This window comes from Homo sapiens, chromosome 6, assembly GCF_000001405.40.
Source record: "Homo sapiens chromosome 6, GRCh38.p14 Primary Assembly".
Taxonomy (NCBI): domain Eukaryota; kingdom Metazoa; phylum Chordata; class Mammalia; order Primates; family Hominidae; genus Homo; species Homo sapiens.
The window spans coordinates 65,333,871-65,355,869 of NC_000006.12; the positions used below are offsets into that span (position 1 = coordinate 65,333,871).

The 21,999-nt window shown below is 31.2% G+C and overlaps 1 protein-coding gene across 4 annotated transcripts in view; it reads right to left on the bottom strand.

Annotated features, from left to right (window-relative positions):
- EYS (eyes shut homolog) overlaps positions 1–21,999 on the bottom strand; it is a 1,987,247-nt gene that overhangs the window by 1,613,891 nt on the left and 351,357 nt on the right. For 3 of the 4 annotated variants that reach the window (NM_001142800.2, NM_001292009.2, NM_001142801.2), the window contains exons 9-11: positions 19,588–19,747; positions 10,168–10,307; positions 1,110–1,276 (exon numbers count right to left, since the gene is read on the bottom strand). In NM_001142800.2, the coding sequence (NP_001136272.1) occupies positions 1,110–1,276; positions 10,168–10,307; positions 19,588–19,747 (467 nt within the window). Of the gene's footprint in view, positions 1–1,025; positions 1,277–10,167; positions 10,308–19,587; positions 19,748–21,999 lie in introns of those variants that run through there. The other variant, NM_198283.2, reaches the window with a different exon arrangement.

Here is a 21,999-nt window from a genome sequence, read left to right on the forward strand (position 1 = left end):
AGTATAGGCACTCCAGTTTTCTTCTTGATGCAGTTTGAATGATATTTTTTTATTGCTTTACTTTCAGCTTATTTGTATCTTTGAATCTAAAGTGTCTTCCGTAAACCATATATATATATATACACACACGTATACATAAAGTGTATCTTCTATAGATCATATATAGTTGACTAAATCAGAAAACAGCCAGTCTAAACGTCTCTAAATTTTGACTGAATTTCTGAAATCACTTTATTTAAATATTTTTGATATATTTGAATTTATGCCTGCCATTTTACTTTTTGTTTTCCACATGTCTTATATCTCTTTTGTACCTGTATTTTTTTCATTGTAATTATTCTAATACTAGTTTCTTTTATACTAAGTAAATCTCTAGGGCAATATTTTATTTTATTGTATTTATTTTCTCATGATAGGGTCTCACTCTGTTGCCCAGGCTGGAGTGCAGTGGCACAATCATAGCTCATTGAAGCTTCTAACTCCTGGGCTCAAGTGATACTTCTTCCTCAGCCTCCCAAGTAGCTAGGGCTAGGAGTACAGGTGTGCACAACCACACCTGGCTGATTTTTTTAAGTTTTTTGTAGAGACAAATTATCACTATGTTGCCCAGGCTGGTCTCAAACTCTTGGCCTCAAGCTATTCTCTTGCCCTGGCCTCCCAAAACACTGAGATTACAGGCTTAAGTCACTGTGCCAGACCCTGAGGGCAACATTTTAATTTTGTTAATGCTAATTTTACTAAAGCATATGAGTTTTTGTTTGTTTTGTTGTTGTTTTTTGTAGTTGCTTTGGAGCTAATCGTACACATCTTAACTTAGCAGAATTTACCACAGATTTATGCTAACTTAATTCTACAATGACATAGAGAAGTTATTTCTATACAGATATATTCCTTCTTCCCTCCTTTTATTGTGCTAGAATTGTTATACATAACATGTATTATGTAACATAATATATAATAACTATATATGTATATGTAAGTGTTTGTTATGGAAATTCCAATCATTTTAATCAACAAAAACATTGTTACCATGAAACAGTTCGATGACTATCAATTTAATTATAACTTTTTGATATGTGATATTATCTGCTCAAATGATACATAAATACCTGGGTCTATTAATTTCATCTTTACAAACAGCTTCATGTTGACACTCATTTTCTTGATCATCAGTTGTATTTTCCAGATACATGTTGCCAGCCCATCTGAGAAAACATAGATACCGATATTCCTGACTGTCTTCTTCACTCAAACAACTGCATCCATTTGCACAAATCTATAGCAACGAAAGAAGTAAAAATGTTATGAATTCCCATCACTTACTACAATATTACAATTGTGACCTGAGAGATCATGATAGATGCCTCTCTGTCTACTAAGATGAAACCTAGGGTTAAGGAAACAGAAGGTAACTATTGGACAAGGGTTCAAAGCTTGGCTGGCACAGCAATTCCCTAAATTTCTAGAGCTACAAGAAAAACCACACCCTTGCTAAACTCCGTAATAGGAGCTATCAGTCAAATTGTCATTTCATTTCTAACTCTGATTTACAACCAAGGCCACCATAACCCTTATCAGACAGAGAATCGCCTTACAAAACACTTTTCTGATAAGCAATTGTAGGCCTCAAACCAGTTTCAGCCAGTTTATACAGACAGGACATAAACTGTCTTTGTGTCCTGTAGTTCACTTTTTTTATGTGAACTGCCAAATTCCACCTCATTTTAAAGCTAAAGCCCTGCTTCAAAGAGAACATGGGATGTATGTTACATACATGTTTACTCATTGAACATGTGCTTGCCTGTCCCCCATAAATATGTATTGCTTTCCCCACAAACTTGCTGAATATGTCTGACTCTATTTTGAACACAGACCTTATGAGGCACAAAAATCACCCTGCCCTTTACCACTTCTAGGAGAGCACCCTGGGTCCACATCAGAGATGAAGTTTTCCCAGTTATATTATTTTGCTCTGTTTCCTCAGCCAAATTTCATGTTGAATTGCGATTCTGACTGTTGGAGGTGGGGCCTGATGGGAGATGATTAAATCATGGGGGCAGTTTCCCCCTTGCTGTTCTCCTGATACTGAGTGAGTTCTCCTGAGATCTGGTTGTGTAAAAGTATATAACACCTCTCCCTTTACTCTCTCTCCTGCTGCCATGTGAAGACCATGCTTGCTTCCCCTTCACTTTCTGCCATGATTGTAAGTTTTCTCAGGCCTCCCAGCCATGCCTCCTGTAGAGCCTGTGGAACTGTGTGACAATTAAACCTCTTTTCTTTATAAATCACCGAGTCTCAGGTAGTTCTTCATAGCAGTGTGAGAATTGACTAATACACCCAGTTAGCGAACTGATATCACAAATAAACTCTTCTTTCTACTGTTTAGTCTTTTTGGTAGTCTTTTGGATGACATAATCATTTCAAAGTTTGAATTTCAAGCTTTCATTTATTTGTTGAAATAATATGTTTCTTTAGCAAAGGTTAAAAAAATCAGTTTTGATTTATGTCAAAATCATTTTTAATAGTCAAATTGTTTATACTCAAATTGTGACAGAAATATATATGTATGTGTAAATATATGTATGTATATATATGTATTGAATATATGTACATTTATTACACAATTTTTTAAAATTCCATTTTATTTTAACCAAATTTTTATAGACATTATTTAAATAGTAACTGATGTGATGGAAATAGCATTGTATTGATAGACAGATCCATGGAAAATCTATTTGTGGTTTTGCTAAATACTTTTATCCTTCAGTGGTTTACTTGTTTTCTCCTTTGAACTGATAGTAAAGCTTTACTGGATTCCTTATTAAAAGTAAATTAAATAATATCTTTCACACATGTTTGTTTAATATTTTCATAAAGTTATGATGCTATGTTTTATTGAAAATTATAATTATATTTTTAACAGCTTTAAAAATCTTCCACAGATATGCCCAGTGGATTCACCTGATGGTTAGGTAAACTGTCAGAAGAGAAATGCACTTCTTATGGAGTGCTTAAACACAGGTATATATTTATATATTTACATATACATATATTCCTAATTTCTACAAGTAAATTCAAATGACAATAGAATTTTACTATCTTTAAAATCATTTCTCTGCATATTTTCACATTTTCTTTTTGGTTTTGGTTCATAGCCAACAAGTTATTTTCCATCTGTAGCAACAAAGATTAGGAATTTGGTTTCATGGTCTGATCCTTTATTGATATCTAAATAGATGAATGTTTCATAGAGATTCACTCTCTGTTGAATTAGAATCAAATGAGAATCTGTCTTTTCACTTTCTACATAGAGCTCAAAACAAGTAAGAAAGTCAAATCTACTAGGAAGTAGAATAGTTCTTTGACATGAACAGATAATAAAGTGTTATTTACACTTGCCCCAAGTCTAAAATATTACAACTGAAGCTATAAGTTTTCTCTGTGTCTGTATGTCTATGTGTTTGTAATTCACAAAGGCTTTCATTTCTGTTTGAGTATGTAATGATTTTCTACATCCAGAGGATATTAGTTGTAAAGTTTTTTTTCAATTAAAGGAGCACTTTTATAACTGGCTTACAAATTTAATAAACACTCGTATAAGAAGCAACAAATTCTAGCATTTTATGACACTACTTTATTTTTCTATCTATCTCTAACTCTATATCTACAGGTAGTTTAGCTTCCTGAGATTTGAGACTATATTGAACATAACTTACTGTGCTTTTCTTTAAAAAAAGAGAATATTCTCTTTTGTTACCTCAGAAAAGTTACCAAAGTTAGAAAGTTGACTTGGCTATAAAGCTATATTTTCTAGCTTATAAGCCGTATTCAAAATTTGTTAATTTTTAAAATATTCTTTATGGAAAAATGCCTAATGTATTATTTCTGCACCTTATATATAATTAGAAAATATGAAACACCAAAACTTCAAACTACCCATTGTATTTTTAATTATTATATATTTATTACAAAATAATACATAATGAAATCTTGAAAGAGAGCAATATTTTAACAAGGAATATTAGTATGAAATTTGGAAAACACAGACTTACTTCATATAACTATGTGCTTTCCCTTTTATTTTCAAAATAATTATTACTGGGATTTAAGAAAATCTGAAAGAACTAAAGTTGAATAATGAGTTTTTCTCTTGGCTATACCTCAAAAACCACATAACATTTTGTCTAAGGGATGTGATATGAACACCTAAATTATATCTAATGCTCTGGTTGAAATACTTTTATTAAATGGAAAAGATGGTGAATTATTTTATGCTGCAGTTATGTACTATATCTAAAAACTATTGCAAGTAATTTCTAGGACTAAAAAATAATTTTGGATTTCAACATGATTTCTCATCTGTTCAGGTAGTCTAGACATCTACTAGAATTTTGGTTTTCTATAAAATTTACACATAAGAAGTCTCTCAGAAAAATTAGCAAGAGAGTAAATTATATCAGTAGACATATAGAAACTTGAATCTGCCTTGTAAAGCAGAGGAAAGATTTCTCAACTTTGTGTATACAGAGAATCAAAGATCTGCTTAAAGGAGTCCATTAATCTTTAAAAATTTTATACAAAAAATTCTATTAAACATTCTATCAAAACATTACATCAAACATGTTAACAAATTTTGGACTGAATAGGGGTCGGCAACCCTAACTCCTGTATTTCACAGGTCAACTGTATATATATTATGTACATAAAATATATAATTAATTATTAAACTTTGATTGCACAAAAACCTCAATATTACAAAATACACACAAATTAAATTAGAAGTTTTATTCTAGATATTTTAAAATGTTTACTTGATGAAGGAATGCAATAAAATCATGATTTTGGGCAGTGGAAGATCTTTTCTTCCCAAAGGAAACAGAAGTAAAACAAACAGCTGGAAATTCCCTTTTTGATAATTCATTACTAGTAATGTATATACATAACACAATATTATTACCCCAAAGTCACTTCATCTGTAGAGAAATTAACCTTCCTGAAGGATATTTATAACATACTTACAGAAAATGTTCTGCATAGGTAAATAAACAACTCTAGTTAAATAATGCCAGCTATCATTTCAGGGAATATCGTGTAATTTTCTAGAAATAATTTTGTCATATCCACATTATATTAGTACATAGGGTCACTTGGCAAAGGACTCTGTGGGAAAAAATTCTGTAAGATCTAATATATGCCCTTTATCTTGCCATTTTGACCCTTGTTATTAAATAGATAAATAAAGTGACTTCAGAGGTGAAAGTGACTTTTCTTAATCATGATACGTAGAAAGCTGGATCCTTAAAATAATATCTGTCAAGGTAAAAATTGCACCAAAGTTAGATAGGTAATTAAATTTTATTAAAGACTATTGAAATAGGGGAGAGAAACTAAACTCAATTCTCCAAAAATAGAATGCAGGAGAAATTTTAATTGCGAACTTGAACTAATAAAAAATGACAGCAGTCCTCCCTTATTGTTGGTTTCGCTTTCCATGATTTCAGTCACCACGGTTCAAAAATATGTTAGTATGGTTTAGTAAGATATCTTGAAAAAGAGAGACCATAGTCACATAACTTTTATTATAGTATACTGTTATAATTGTTATATTTTTATTAGTAATTGTTGTTAATCTCTTTTTGTGCCTGATTTATAAATTAAACTTCATCATAGGTATGTATGTATAGAAAAAAATACAGTAAATACAGGGTTTGGTACTATTCACAGTTTCAGGCATACACTGGGGTCTTGGAAAGTATCCCTGCAGGTAAGAGGGAAGACTGTTATACTTGATGTCACTGGAGAAGAGTTTGATCAATGAAATGTGTCAAGCAGATTGAGTTATTATTGAGTTTGCAAAGATTTTGCTCTGTGAGTAGGCCTTCTGTAGAGTACACAGGGAAGTAAGAGTACTATTTTCTTTGATGTTTACATTTCAGAGACATGGTTCCAAGGTCCTTGATACAGACATCCCAGGCATCCTTAAACTGGCAAGAGGTTGGAAGAAGATTTATATACATTTCAAAAAGGCAGATAATTTACAACTGCAAATTTTTTAAAGTACATCCTATAAGAAAAAAAGAGTGCAGGGGCCTGTAGGCAATAAGAAACCTGTCTGAAGTTTAGTCAAGGTGAGGGAAAGAGGAAGGTTGTTTTGGCTCTATATTTAGCTAACTAAAAGGGAACAGATTTTAAAAATCATATCTGGATGAATTAAAGTTCAAATTTATACTGGATTAAGACCTAGTCATAAATTCTGAAATAAAATAAACTTGGTAAAAACCTTTCACATCCCAAATTTTAGTGCTCCATGGACTCTTCTACTTTGTTTGAAATTCACCTTCCCTTCCCAGTAACTCATAATAATATATAATTTCATAACATTTTTGTAGCATGGTTGTAGAAAATAAGATAAACTTATTTGTAATTATGTGTTTCCATTCCAGAAGCATTTGCATTTAAAAGGACCTCACTCAGAGAAGGAACACATTTTAATACAAAAAAAATTAAAACAACACTCTTGGAATTTCTGTCTTTGATGATGAAAACTAAAATAAACCTAATTTCCCATCATAAGTTTCAAAATACTGAGAAAAAGCAAGACTAACTTACTATTTACTCTATGAAATACTTGCTTCTGGAACATAAGACTGTGAACCAACTAAAATAAGTTATTTACAAAAACTAACAGTTTGCACATAAAGACTCACTTTAAAGATTCTCAGTATATTGTGCCACCAATACGAAGCTTTCCTTCATAAACTCTAACCAATCCCCACTAAATACCCTCTACAACTGACTCAAGGCTCTACACCAAATAAATAACTTTCCACAACTTCTCCCATCTGATGCACTACTAAGACTCTACTAAGGTGTTGTTTTCCCTTATTGAAAGAAGTCTAAAATAATTAGTTTTTCTCCATCACCAGAATAGTCTGGTGGTCTTTTGGAGGGTAAATAGTGAATAAATCCAAAGTTTCACAAAATCTCATTAAAATGCCCTCACTCTCAAGGCTGGATAGCAACCAATGCACTACGCTGAGACCACTGGATATTCTCTCCAACTGTGAAAGTGACATAGGTACAGTATCAAGTCTAAACTCCAATATTTTTCATCAACTTCACAAATGTCATGTTTCTGTTGTTTCTTAAGAATAAAAAAAATTCGAATATATACAAATAGGAAAACTCTCCGTCTTCATCACTTTTTCAGGTGAGTCTATAAGAGGAAGCTCAGCTGGGAGAGGAAAGCGTGGGTTCTATAAGTACATCATTCAAGTGTTCTAAATAAGCGATGAGTTCAGATGATCACATCACTCTGGTGTTCCTTTGGGCAACATTTTTATTGTCACCTTTTAAAAAATCTTCTAAACAGTCTTAGTTGATTTGAAATTGATTGATCTTTTGAATTTTCTGGAGACATGATATTGTACAAATGCTTGCTGACATAAGTTTTCACGGGTTCTTCTCAGTCTTTTATACCTGGACACCACACATTCCTCCCCTCATATTGTAAGCCATATACATATCTCTCTAATTGGCATAATTTCTCAAAGGACAATGTGAAATTGCAGTGACCACCCTGGGGAAATTTTGACATGAACAAGATTATTTATTTGACAGATCTAATAGAACAAAAAGGGAAAAATCCTCATGAGGAGATTCTCTGTCCTGTATATCTAATAGAGAGATTACTGTGTATTATACAAAACCTTCTCTTTCATTTTCATGCTTCTGGGATTAAGAAGCACTAGATTTTTAATTATATGGCTCTGTGGAATTGTCAAGTATGTGAGTTGTTTAAACTGTCTATAATAATTTGTTCTTATGTGTTTGAAAATAGGTTTTTCTTCATTTAAGCATCTCCAATGCTGTGCAGAAGGGAGATAATCAAACTTTGCAATCATAATTTTACATCTACCAGAATCTAGATAAACTTCATTTATTCATTTTTCACTTTTTCTCCTTTTCTGTTTTGCTTAGAAAAAATAGAAATTAATTGATCATAAATATTTTTATAACATTCTATATTGCCATTCTAGGATGATTTTTCAGATAGTCGACATTTTACAATGAAAGGAAACGATTAACTGTGCTTTATTTACATGATTTCTCTTCCCAAATTTTAACAAATCAGGAAAAGCATTCATGTGTATGGGTAATATTGTTAGTCTTTTAGTTGAGAAAAACATTGGGCTCCACAGAGCTTTGGCTTAATCCTAAAGTTCTGATTTTTCAAAATACATAAATACTGAGGTTTGCTCATTTATATTAGTACATATGTATTTATTTATTCTAAAGAGGCTTATTTATTTAAAAAGGACTCATGTAATTTTTAAATAAATGACACTTCAGAAAAATTAGCCTGATTTAATTTAACTTTAAGAGAAATATTCTATAATTATGTCCTCAAATTGTCTGATTACACAATCTAAAATTGATATAATCGAAATTTTAATAACAGATATAATTTAAAAGGGTTGAATCTTGTGAATTCTTACTAATTTTACTACACTGATGTATTAGAATGTTTTATTGATGATACTACAAATCATAAGAACTTAAAATGATTGTGTAAGTTTACAATTTCTAAATATTTAGTCAACATTAAGAACTTACACAGATATTTAATCAAATTAGTCAAATTATTTTGGATGCCTGAACAATTAATCAAATTAATCAAATTATTTTGGTTGCCTGAACAATTCCTAATTAAGAAAATTATAAAAATATAGTCTCTAAATATAGATTTAAATTACCTCTGTCCTTATAGAATGGAAATAAGGTGTGCAAATACAGTTGAAGGATGTGTATTTATATTTATTTTGCCTATGATAAAAGTTGTTAAAGTTATATAAAATGTGTAATCATAAAGTAATAAAATAGCCAAAATGATCTTAGATTGCTATATTTGCGTATTTTCTTGAGTCTAAAGAAATTGTCTAATTTAATTAAAGTTGGTGATTTATATTATAAAAGGATACTGAGAACTAGAAATACATAAACAAAACAACAAATATGATTTGCTTGTTCCTGACAAAGGTTTACAGTTACTGAATTATTAAGTGTATTATAATATGTAACTATTTTTAATATACTGATAAAGCTAAAAGTCTTAAAGATAAAGCTGTAATGTAATCATCTATGTGTATAGTGATGTATATGTGATTGGCAAAATATATATATATGTAAGAACGTATTAAGCTTACTTCATATATTTATGACTTGTAAACATATATCAAAATATATTTTAGGGCATACTTTTAGATGTTCTGTGGTATTTGAAGTCTTTTTGCCTGTAGTTGTAATGCCTCTAGATGAATTTGAAGGAAATAGTGACTTGTATCAGTTTTTACAAGGTTGACTCAATATAAATTGATACATTAATAAAGAAAAGGGCTTATGAGTCTTTACTGAAATGTATACAATATGCAGAATTAAAACATGGCTTTCTTAAAATGACCAAATTAGGATGTATCAAGACAAGATAGGTTACAAATACTTTGTTAATTATCTTTTGGGAAAATTCTTGAATCATTTTAACAAAAAGTTCCTATTCCTAAGTTGTTTAAAATGAAGATTCTTAAATTTTTCTTAATTATTGTTACATATTAAAAAATATAATCTTAATTTGTATAAGACAGTGGTGAGGGGATAAAAGGAGGGCCTCTCTTTTATTCTTGCCATAGGCCTCACAATTTTTAGTGATGGAACTGCCTAGAGATTAGAAATTATTTTCATTTATTTTTATTTATTTTATTTTTTAAGTAGCTTGCTCGTGTAAGAGATTAGAAATCTCTCAGAGATTTAAACATATCCAAAAGACAAATGCATTTCATTATGATCTGTAAGCAAAAAAAGTGGCATAATCACAACTGTATCTGAGAGGCTTTAGTCAGCCTGCAAATTATAACATTAATAAAAAACAAGAAGACTAGGAACAAAATGATTCTTCAAAATTTTTACTTTCCCATATTATAAATGTATGACGTAAATATAAATTTCCAAGTAGACTGTTGAGAATTTGTTTACGAAGTTATATTTAAACTATGCAAACTATATATTTTGAATATTTAAGAATCTGTAACCTAAACATTTCTAACTTTCTAAAAATCAGACAATTACAAGCTAAAGAGAAAAATGAAAAGCAACTACATAAAATTACCTTACCTCTTTTGTGCCTTCATGTGGGAACCAACATGAAGAATTATTATCTTCAGGATCGTTCACATAGGTTGCATCTTCAGTGCAGTTTGCAGCCAGAAAGAAATAGGCATCAATAACCCCTTGGCACTTTTCGCCTTCAGATCCTTTAAAAAAAAAGAGATAAAAAATTAAATAAACTCTTACAAACTTGAATTCAGAATGAATTATTAAGGACTGTGGTCAAATTACTTGAAAAGATAAATTTGACAACATCTGCCACAAAATAAGTTCCTGTATGCATATGATATTGAATTTGAAGAAGACCTCAAAGCCCAACACTCTCATTTTAAACATGAACTGAGAAATACAGCATCACAAGAAGAAGAAGAGACAGCTCCCAGGCCAATTCATTTTTTAAAATAATCAAATTTTGACTAAACTGTAATTAATAATTATAAGAAAGGATGGTAGAACGATAAAAAGAACACTGTCCTATAACAAAAATAAAAGCAGAGATTGCAAAAGAGCAGAAGAAAGAAGTGACCTATATTCAAGAGAATGTGACCTATATTCAAGAGGAAAACTAAAATTTTAAGGCCCAGACCTAGAATTCTCAGACAAGGACTTTAAAATGATTATATTAAACTTTCTGAAAAATCAACAGGAAAAGATGAATAAAATAGATAATTAGATAAGGAATTAGGGGATGAGAGATTTTGAAATTGTAGGAAAAACCAAACAAAAAAATGGTAAATCTCAGAATTGTAGGGAAAAAGGAGTTAATTAAACTGGGCTGAAAACCCATTATTGGTCATTAATAGTGGTAATAAAAGAACATAGAAGACCTGATCCAATCTTTTTGTAAACATGACTACATCTCCTAGTAAACAAACAAAAAATATTTGTCAGAGGACAGTATTTATCTAAAGAATCTTTTAGCAAAATATCTCTGGCTTTGGATTGCTTATAGTAAACAAATCTAAACTCTAGGGACTCGCAAGGCATCATTTCTTGGAAAATAGAATGTAAGCTATGCATTTTACAACTGAGTTGTAAATTAGAAATGATTCATAAACTGACATCTCCCTACCGTGTGAATATTTCACCAAGAAATCTCACATATTACTGGAAAAAAAGAAGGAGCTAGGAACCAAGCACAATATCCCAAATCTCTTCAATCATATGTATGTAATTTGACTGTTTATAAATTTAAGATTACAGAAAATTATGGCTATGTTAATAAAACAATTAATGGATGAGATTATCAGATCAAACACAAGAGAAGAAAAGATCAGTAAATTTAATGATAGGTCAATAAAAATTCTACCTGTAACATTCTGAGAGTAATTAACTCAAACAGGATTATGCTAGCTCCATATAATTAATTGATATGTGTTCCTCCCTCTGTGTTTTTGTGCAAATTTATGTAGTATTAGAATGAATACTTTATTGAAAATTTGGAGAACTTTAATAGAAGGCCATATATTTCAAGTATGCTTTTGTGGGATGATTTTTAAAACTATTTTATTCAGTTATTTAAGAAATTGTAGGATTATTTAGAATTGAAATTTATGATTTGCTCAGTTTTTCCAACTAGTATTTTTTTAGAAATTTATCCATTTCATTTAAATTGTCCAATTTATTAGTATAAAGTTTTTCATAATGATATATCTGACTAAACATTAGGATTTAACTCTTAACGTCTTCCCTCTGCCTCCCAAGACCTCAAAAAAACAGAGAATTAAAAAAATAAATAAAACAAACGTTTTAACCCACAAAAAAGAGTGAGAAGATGAAAAAAAATGATACACTGACTAAATTAGCAGAAAGGCTACAGCCAAAACACAAATGAGGGGATATAATTATGAAAAAAAAATTGGACTAGCAGAAATACTGAGATGCTCTGGGTTTAAAAAGCATCTGAGAATCTGATACTAAGGTGGGCTCTGGAAACACGATTAGCTGACACTGAGAGTCTCTCTCCCAACTCAGTGATCCAGATTATTATTCTAACTCCTCACTCAGCTTTACAAACAAACAATTTCCGAGGTTTGTTTTCAGGAGTTAAAGAATCTCAGGAGCGCCTGCCTTAAGGATACCAAGCTCCTTGAGGGTCCCCTAGCGAAAGCCTAGTTGCCATCCTGCAACCCTGTCATAGAGCTCCAGTCATCATGGCCCATCCTTGTATGGTCAGTTTCCAGTCAGCCTTCTTAGTTCCTCTCCGTTAAATATGATCACCCCACATTTGGCAGAAAGACTCCAAACGAGAGAGAACAAATCTTTATAAACAGTATTTACAGAAAACTGAGACACTAGGCAAAAAAGAAGAAAATTAAAACAAACAAAACTATAACATTTTTAGAGAGAGAAGAAAAGTCATTTTACCCTTATTGAAAAAAAAAACAAAAAACAATGTCCGAAGTGTGTATAATTTAAAGGATGGAAAACTGCCCTAGATTATTACAAATATAGTAAAACAAATTAAAAATTCAAACTCATTTTGAGATATTCAATTGGAGGAATGGAGTAGAAAATAAAGCAATATGAAAAGAAATAGGAAAGAGAAAAGAAATTATGAGAAAACGAGGGGATCAATTTAGGAGATGTGATACCCAATTTTTGGAATTGGGGCTACAGAAAAAAACAGGAAAAAGGACTTTTTAGGGGAAAAAATACAGAAACTACCTAAAAATGGAAAGACCCATGCTTCCAAATAGAAGAGTTTAACAAGAGACAACAAGAACATACTATGTAAACGTTTCAACATTGTGAAATTTCAGAACACTGAGCAAAAAACATGGAAAAGTGTTCCACAGAAATAAACACAAATTATATATAAAGAAGCACAAGGTTGTCTACTATACACATGATTCTACACTGCTGCATGCCTTTCTTTCACCTTATCATGTATCTCAGTCCTAGATGAGTTCTACATTCATTTCCATATTTATGTTTACTCTTTTTCTTAATAACCAATGATACCAGGTATAAAATTACACCTATATTATTTAGCATGTGGATGTATTCTCAATGATCAGAAGGTTAGGTCAAATGGTATAGAATTTGTAATATTGACGGATATTGCAAAACTATCCCACTTAGATATTATAGTGATTTTACAGTATTGCCAGCAATGGATAGTCATTAAATTGTCCAATTCTAAAATTTTTACCAGGCTAAGAGGAGAAAAATTATATACTTACAGTGTTTTTTAAATTTGCTTTGATTGCATTATGAATAGAGCTTAGCATTTTCCCCACATATTTAGGGATACTCTCTGTGTCTTCGTATGTAAACTGGGTGTTTATATTACTGACTTACCTTTCAGCTTTTTCAGTTTTTCCTTCTTAATTTCTAAGTTATTGATATATTCTCGATCCTAATCTATCTTTTGTGAAGTAAAATGTTTGTGCAGTGTTTCTTTTGCATTTTGATTTTTATGTCTTTCATAAGCAGATATTTTTACTTGTCTTGTAGTGAAATTCACCAGTCTTTTCTTTCTGACATCAACATTTTTAGTATTAACTATAAACATCTTCCCCATCCATTTTTTTTTTTTGTTTTTCCCTTTGAGTTTTTGTGGGTAAATACTAGGTGTATATATTTATGGGTTACATGAGATATTTTGCTACAGGCATACAATGTATAGCAATCACCTCAGGGAAAATAGTGTATCCATCACTTCGAGCATTTATCCTTTCTTGGTGTTACAGATAACCCAATTATATTCTTTTAATTACTTAAAAATGTACAGTAAATTATTGTTGCCTGTAGTCACCCTGTGGTTCTATCAGATACTAGATCTTACTAATTATATCTAATTATATTTTTGTACCCATTATCTATCCCCACTTCCATCCACCTCACTATCCTTCCAAACCTCTGGTAACCATCATTCTACTCTCTATCTGTAGGAGTTCCATTATTTTAATTTTAAGCTCCTACAAATACATGAGAACATGTGAATTTGTCTTTCTGCGCCTGGCTTATTTCACTTAACATAATGACCTCTATCTAGTTCCATCCATGTTGTTGCAAATGACAGGATCTCATTTTTTTATATAGCTGAATAGTATTCTATTTAGTAAATATACCATATTTCCCTTACTCATTCATCTGTTGGTGGACACCCAGGTTGCTTCAAAATCTTGGCTATTGTGAACAGTGCTGAAGTAAACATGGAAGTGCAGATATCTCTTCAATATACTTATCCCCTTTCATTTGAGTATATACCTAGCAGTGGGATTGCTGGATCATATGGCAGTTCTATTTTTAGTATTTTTTAGGAACCTCCAAACTGTTCTCCACAGTGATTGTACTAATTTACATTCCCACCAACAGTGTACAAGGGTTCCCTTTTCTATACATTCCTGCTAGCATTTGTTATTGCCTGTCCTTTGCACTAGGGTGAGATGACATCTCATTTTAGTTATGATTTGCATTTATCTGATGACTAATAATGTTGAGCACATTTTCATATGCCTGTTTGCTATTTGCATATCTTCTTTTGAGCCACATCTATTTAGATCTTTTTTCCCATTTCTAAAAATCATATTATTATTTTATTCCTGTAGAGTTGTTTGAGCTCCTTCTGTATTCTGGTTATTAATCCCTTGTCAGACAGATAGTTTGCAAATATGATATACCATTCTGTGAGTTTTGTCTTTGTTGTTTCCTTTCTTCTACAGAAGCATTTTAACTTGCTGTGAGCTCATTTGTCTATTTTTTGTTTGATTACTAGTGCTTGTGGGGTATTACTCAAGAAATCTTTGCCCAGTCCAATATGCTGGATAGTTTCCCCAATGTTTTCTTTTAGTAGTTTCATAGTTTGAAGTCTTAGATGCAAGTCTTTAATCCATTTTGATTTGCTTTTTGTATATGGTGAGAGATAGGGGTTTAGTTTCATTCTTCCCCCATCCAAATTTACAAAGCATTTCTCCAACATTCTCTAATATTTTTATACTTTCTTTTTATGTATTAAAACTTGTATCTATTTCAATTTAATCCAGAGAATGTTTAAAGGTATAAACAAGTCGAATTTTTTTTCAGATGGCTATCCAGTTGTTCCATGTTAATTATTAAATAGTCCCTACTTATTCTAATAATCGGAGATGGCAGTTTTATTATATGTTATATATTTTTTCATGTTTTGGATTCATTTTGAGACTTTGTGTTTTGTCATATTTGTTGACTACCAATGCGGTGGTGCCATGCTTTTCATTAATGAAGCTATGTAATCTAATTTAATATATGGCAGAGCTCATTCTATACACCACTTGTCCAAACAATGCACTTTTGCAGAGTACACTTGGCTTTATTTGTCTTTTATTCCATGTGAACATTAAGAAATAAGATGTCAATTTCATAGAACACAAAGATAACACCATTATTTTATTAAAATCTCAATAAACCTATAAAATAATATGAAGAGTTGAAATCTTTAAAAGTTGTATGTCCAGTATAATATAAGTTTTTCAGGAGGAAGGTTATTATTATTTTAAGTTTACAGATGAAACTGTATGTATCATACATAAGGTTATGATTATGTATGTATGATATACAACATGATATTTTGAAGTATATACACATTGCAGAATGACCAAATCTAGCTAATTAACATATGCATTACCTCATATAGTTATCATGTTTGTGGTAAGTACACTTCTGAAATTATAAAACTCACTGGCAAAAGTAAACACATTGTAAAATTCAGAATACTCAAATACTGTATGGTAGTGTGTAAATCACTAATACAATTAGTATGAAGGTTGAAAGAAAAAACTATTAAGAATAATAGTAGCTACAGTGTAATATATCTTTAGAATTTTCTTTCAGATTATGTATGCATGCGCCTATACTACAGCAATATCTAAAGTTTTCTCCATGTAGAAGTTGCATGTTTTTGTTAATTTTAGTCCAATGCATTTTAACATTTTAATTCTTGTTTGTAAGAAATATTTTCTTCCTTATGATTTAATTAGCTTGATTCTGTTTATTAAAGTTGTTTATTTCTAATTAGTGACTTAATTAAGAGAATTCTCTTTCAAGGCATGTAAAAATGCTTTAAAAACTTACTATAAGTGATATGAATGAAAAATACTAAACCACTTTTTTTAATACTCAGATTTTTAAAAAGCCTTCAACTAAAGATTAAAACTAAAGTCCCTAAAATACTTAATAGATATATAAATAGCAGGCATTTGACAAAAGAAGACTTGAAGGTAGAACAATATACTAAGAAAAATAGATTTTGATAAAGATTGCTTTGTTGATACAGCATTTCCTATTTTCACAAAAATCGTTTAAAATTTAAGAAGTAACGTATAATGCATAAATTATAATTAATATTCTGGAATGTCTTCTACCAGAAGATCCATTACTTTATAAAGGAAAAATAAAACTTTCAAAGTAAATATTTGTTTGCAATATCAACTCACAAATGCAACAATCACTATTTATTTAAAAAAAAAGTTCACTAGTACATGTTAAGTGTTTTAACTCTATGTTTAACTTGGATAAGCAAACTGAAATAACGACATGCTTCAAGAAGAAAGAGATTTAAAAGAATTTCTCTTATTTTCTTTTTTTGTCTAGGATTTTATCTTTTCTTAAGCATGATTCATATTGTCTTACTTCACTTCGCAACTCTTTATCCACTCTGTCAGTAGCTCTTTTCCTCAAACTTAATAATACACATAATGAACATAGATGATGACATTGAAAAGAAACAGTGCATGTCAGCTCTTTCTCAAGATGTGCACTGTCGACCAATTGTCCTTGAAGGGGCTTCTTCTAATTAATCACCATCCCTTCTCTGTAGAGCAATCATATTGGCAAGAATTGATTGGGCGTGTAAGACACTTAATTTAGTTGTTAGAAAAATCCCTTAATTAAAATAATCTTCCTGCTGGTAAAATTAATGCACCCCATGCAAAATTACCAGCATGATTTTAAAGTTCCTCTTCAATTACATTTTATATTTCGTGAGGAAGAAGTAAAAGAAGATCTTAATGGCAATTATCAAAAGAAATAAGAAGGAATTTTGCAATACATAAAATGTATAATTCTATTTACATATGTTTTCATTTATTTTAACTTCTATTTTGTTTTGAAAACTTGAGAAGTTTCACTGCTGAATCTTCATATTGAAATTCAAAATGAGTTTAAGTGTTTTACTTAAACATTCATTCAGTCTGTGCATTATCACACTGTTTCTTTTCCATTGGAAAGCCCAAGTCATTTAGATTCTCAGATGTAGCGGTCACATAATTTTAATTTTTGTTATAATTAGCTATATTCAGTAAGTTCTGTCCAGTAATTCAGGAAGGAATAATGATTAAATATGCATACACTGTTTTGAAGATAATTGCTTTCTGCTAAGTTTTCCATGAGTAATTTTAACTTTGTATTACACCACCCATTTTCTAAAACATATATTTGTTATTTTACTGCCATTCATAAAGTTGACTATATTTGCTCAAAGCTGATTTATCCATGAGCAATTTGACTTACTATTACTCCTTCCATTTTCCCTCAAAAATACTTCTGCCATTTCATCATTGTGAATATGTTCCCTGTAGCAATTTATAGTTCTCAAAAGAAGTTTAATATTTAAAAATAACCAAACATATGAAAGCATTATTCCTACTATGAGATAAAGGAAAATGAAGTGCAAAAACGATGCAAGCACTGAAATATGTGAACTAATTTGGTTGTAACAGTAGAGAGCATTTCTCAATCTGCACACTGAAAGCATGTAGGGAACCTCAAAAAATACTCTGTGTCCATCTCACTACAATTCCAGTTTGATTGTTCTGTAATGAGAGTTCACCATTAGTATGTTTCAAGAGCTCCTTCAGATGATTCTAATATGTGGTCAGGGTTTAAAAACAACTGAACTGACACAATCCCTAAATAGTCCTGAGGTTAATTCCTCTAACCTCAACTATATTTATTTCTTTGTTTCGTCTGATTGTGTCATTTATAAAATAGTAAGTATTCATAACAGAGTCTCTGAAAGTTCCTTTTAGCATCAACATAGTATAATCAACAATGCTTTGCTCTCTTCTACCACTTTTGGTCTTCAGTGTGATCTGATTAATGAACTGATAACTATTTCTGTCACTAAAGGTTGTTAACTCTACAGTATACTATTTTATGAGCATGGTGAAATAAATTATCATGTTTTCTGTTTAAAAGGCTAATTGTTAGTTTACTTCAACACTGTTGTGATGTAATACAATGTTAGAAATTCAGCTGCTGTTGGTTAGCTGTTACTCAAAAACAGACACATCAAACTGTTAATTTGCTGGTTGTTTGTAAACTGAAGTGCCAAAATATCACTGTCAGAGGAAATATTCTTTAAAAGAATGAAAATACCATATAGTCTTAAGAATGTAAATCAAATTTGCATCAGCTAAGTTAAATAATATTAGAAATGTAATCAAAGAATGAAAATTAAGCTCATCAAAATAGATTGCGATAGAAATTGAAACTCTATAATATAAACAAAAACATATATGGGAACACAAGTGCTGGAATGATTTCATTTCAAGTGTGTAAGACAGAAAACTAGGAGTCCTGTTGACACCTTCATCACTTGCTATTTCCAATTCATAAACAAGATCTTCCATTTATTTCAAGCTTCCAGCATTATGACTCACCTTATTACTCCAACCAACTCCCTAGCTTTTTTCCTTCTCTTCCATGTGTTTCTCTACTTGTTATAAACTTATGGAATGTGTCAAAACCTATAGTAATTTTCTATTCCTTTTAGAAGAGAAATCAAAATATCTAACCCAGCATTTTAGTTCTGGCTTTACCCCCTCCATGGAATTGTTATTAGTCTTTTCTCACAGCCCCAGACAGGCCTTCAAAGAAGCCATTTCTTCTAATATAATGTTTTTACAAATACAATTCCCTCAACCCAGAATTCTCTCTTCTCCAACTTCTCTGCCATGACATTATTCTCTATATCTCTCTTCAGGGGTCATTTTCTCATGGAAACCTTTTCTGGCAACCCAACTCAATATCTCAATTGCCCAGTTTTTTTTTCTTTTTTTCTAAATAGGCTCATTGCTTATAAGCATTCATGGAATGCTACCTGTTTTCATAAGAGCATTTTGTTTTTAAATAAAATTACATAGTTATCACTGTATTTGTCCATTAACCACTCCCTTCCAACAAATGGATTTATGAAAGTAGGAAATAGCTCTAGTTTACTTCACTATTATCTCTCTTGCACCAAGTAGATTTCCTAGGATGTAGTTGGTGTTAAACACGTCAGTTAAAGGAATACATTAGAAAATAAGAGTATTAATTTTATTTTTAGTTTATATTACGTTTTGAGATATAAAATACTTTGTGTGTTTAGAAAATGAATACGTGACTAGCAAATTTTGAAATGATTCAAGCAGATTGAAAAAAATTACATAAATTTGTTACCTGCAAATCCCAATTGCCACACATATTCAAATTGAGCAGGACCTTTATCTTGGCAAATACCATGGAAGGTGACTCCACAGTAGCAGAGGTGTTGATGAATTAGGTAAACATTCTTCAAAAACCAACATGGATTTTTTGTGCACCCTGGAATGCATACATACTGCAAAAAGGAAACAAGGAAAAATGGTAAATTCTTTTTTGATATATTTTTCAATATATACATATAACATAAACAGCTAATTTTTAAAACCACAGTGATTATAGAAAACTTTATGGGACACACTTTTTATACTTCTCTTTATTTCTTCTATTTCTTTATCTTTTCTTTCTGTACTATCTTTTGTCATATCCATGTTCAAAAGCCTATATGATAATCTTTTAGCTTTGACTCACTCTCAATATACAACAGTCCCTAATCTTCTGTTTGATGGGCTATAATACATCTTTCCCCTCACAAATTTAAAATACCTATGGTATAAATTAAGAGATACACCATTTAAAACACTTATAACGGTTGAATTAGCACAATAAATGTCATGGTGTGTTCAAATTAGACTTTTGCTATCATTTGAAAATAGTTGAAGATAATCAGGGCATATTGTCTAATAATATGATTTGTTTATGGTAATCTCCAGCATCTTCAAATACAAAAATCATATATAGTTATATCCACAATTGAACTAACTAAATGTAAACCATTTTAGGTCACATTGAGGTCATCACTAAGTTTTAGTACATGCTGCGCTACTTAGGTATTAGGAAGACATCAACCAGCATGAAATTTAAGCCCTAGAGACAAACTAGGGCTATGTATTCTCTTTAGAGCATACCCCTCAATTATTTCTACTTCTCCACGTTTTTTATTAACAAATCTCCCTTGAATTTGGCAGAGAAAAACACAGCTGAGACATGCAGTACAAGGAATCTGACAGTTCCATTAATGAAATTACTACACTAAGTAAGCATTGTTCTGTTTCAAGTCATGGTGGTCTACCTGGATTTGCAATCACAATTTCCTAATTGCACAACAACCTTAAAGTATGAGTCAACACTAAATGTGAGGAAAAAAAAAAATTGGCGAGGCGTGGTGCCTCATGCCTGTAATCCTAGCACTTTGGGATGCCAAGGCGGGCGGATTACCTGAGGTCAGGAGTTCAAGACCAGCCTGGCTAACAGGGTGAAACCCTGTCTCTACTAAAAATACAAAAAATTAGTCAGGTGCAGTGGCGTGCGCCTGTAATCCCGCCTACTCTGGAGACTGAGGCAGGAGAATCACTTGAACCAGGGACGCAGAGATTGCGGTGAGCTGAGCTGAGATCACACCACTGCACTCCAGCCTGGGCTACAGAATAAGACTTTGTCTCAAAAAAAATGAAAAAGAAAGAAAAAAAAGAAATAATTTAAAAAATAATTACCATTTAATTATATTAAATGATTACCAAAAAATACAATTTTATGATATATTTCCAAGTTGTGAGATGATCAAAATCTTTAACCCATTACTTTTATACTGAGACATCAAATGTTGAAGTCTACAAATGGCATTAACCAATCTTCACTGTCAGTGGAGATTGTCTTTATTGGATTTGGGTCCTCATTGTGATAGAAAATATGAAGGCCTAATGAATTCTGAATATATGACTGTACAAAATAAACTTAGCAGAATAGTACATTATTCATATTGATAGGATCCTGTAGAGTCATTTCTTCACTTAAAACTTAACAAAACAATAGACAGTTTTTATCTGTCATGTCCCTCTCACCCTTCCCTCTGAGTCCCCAAAGACTGCATATTGAGTACAGTGCACACTGCTTCAGTGACTGGTCTACCAAAATCTAAGAAATCACCACTAAAGACTTATTCATGTAACTAAAAACCACCTGTACCCCCAAAAGTATTGAAATAAAAATTTAAAAATAATTTCAGAATATCCTCTTCTGGACACTGGCCTAGGAAGAGAACTCATGACTGAGATCTCAAAGTACAAGCAACTAAAACAAAAGTAAACAAATAAGACTTGATTAACCTAAAATGCTTCTGCACAGCAAAAGAAATAATCAATAAAGTGAACAGACAACCTTCAGATTGGGAGAAAATATTTGCAAATTATGCATCCAACAGGGGACTAAAATCCAGAATTTATAAGGAACTCAAGCAACTCAACAACTTCAAAATACAACCAAATAACCCAATTAAAAAGTGGACAAGTGACATGAATAGACATTTTTCAAAAGAAAACATACAAATAGCCAGCCCACATATGGAAAAATGCTCAACATCACCAATCATCAGAGACATGCAAATTAAAACCATAATGAGACATCATCTTATACCAATCAGAATGGCCATTATTAAAAAGTCAAAAAACAATAGATGTTGGTGAAGATGCAGAGAAATGGAATGCTTATGCC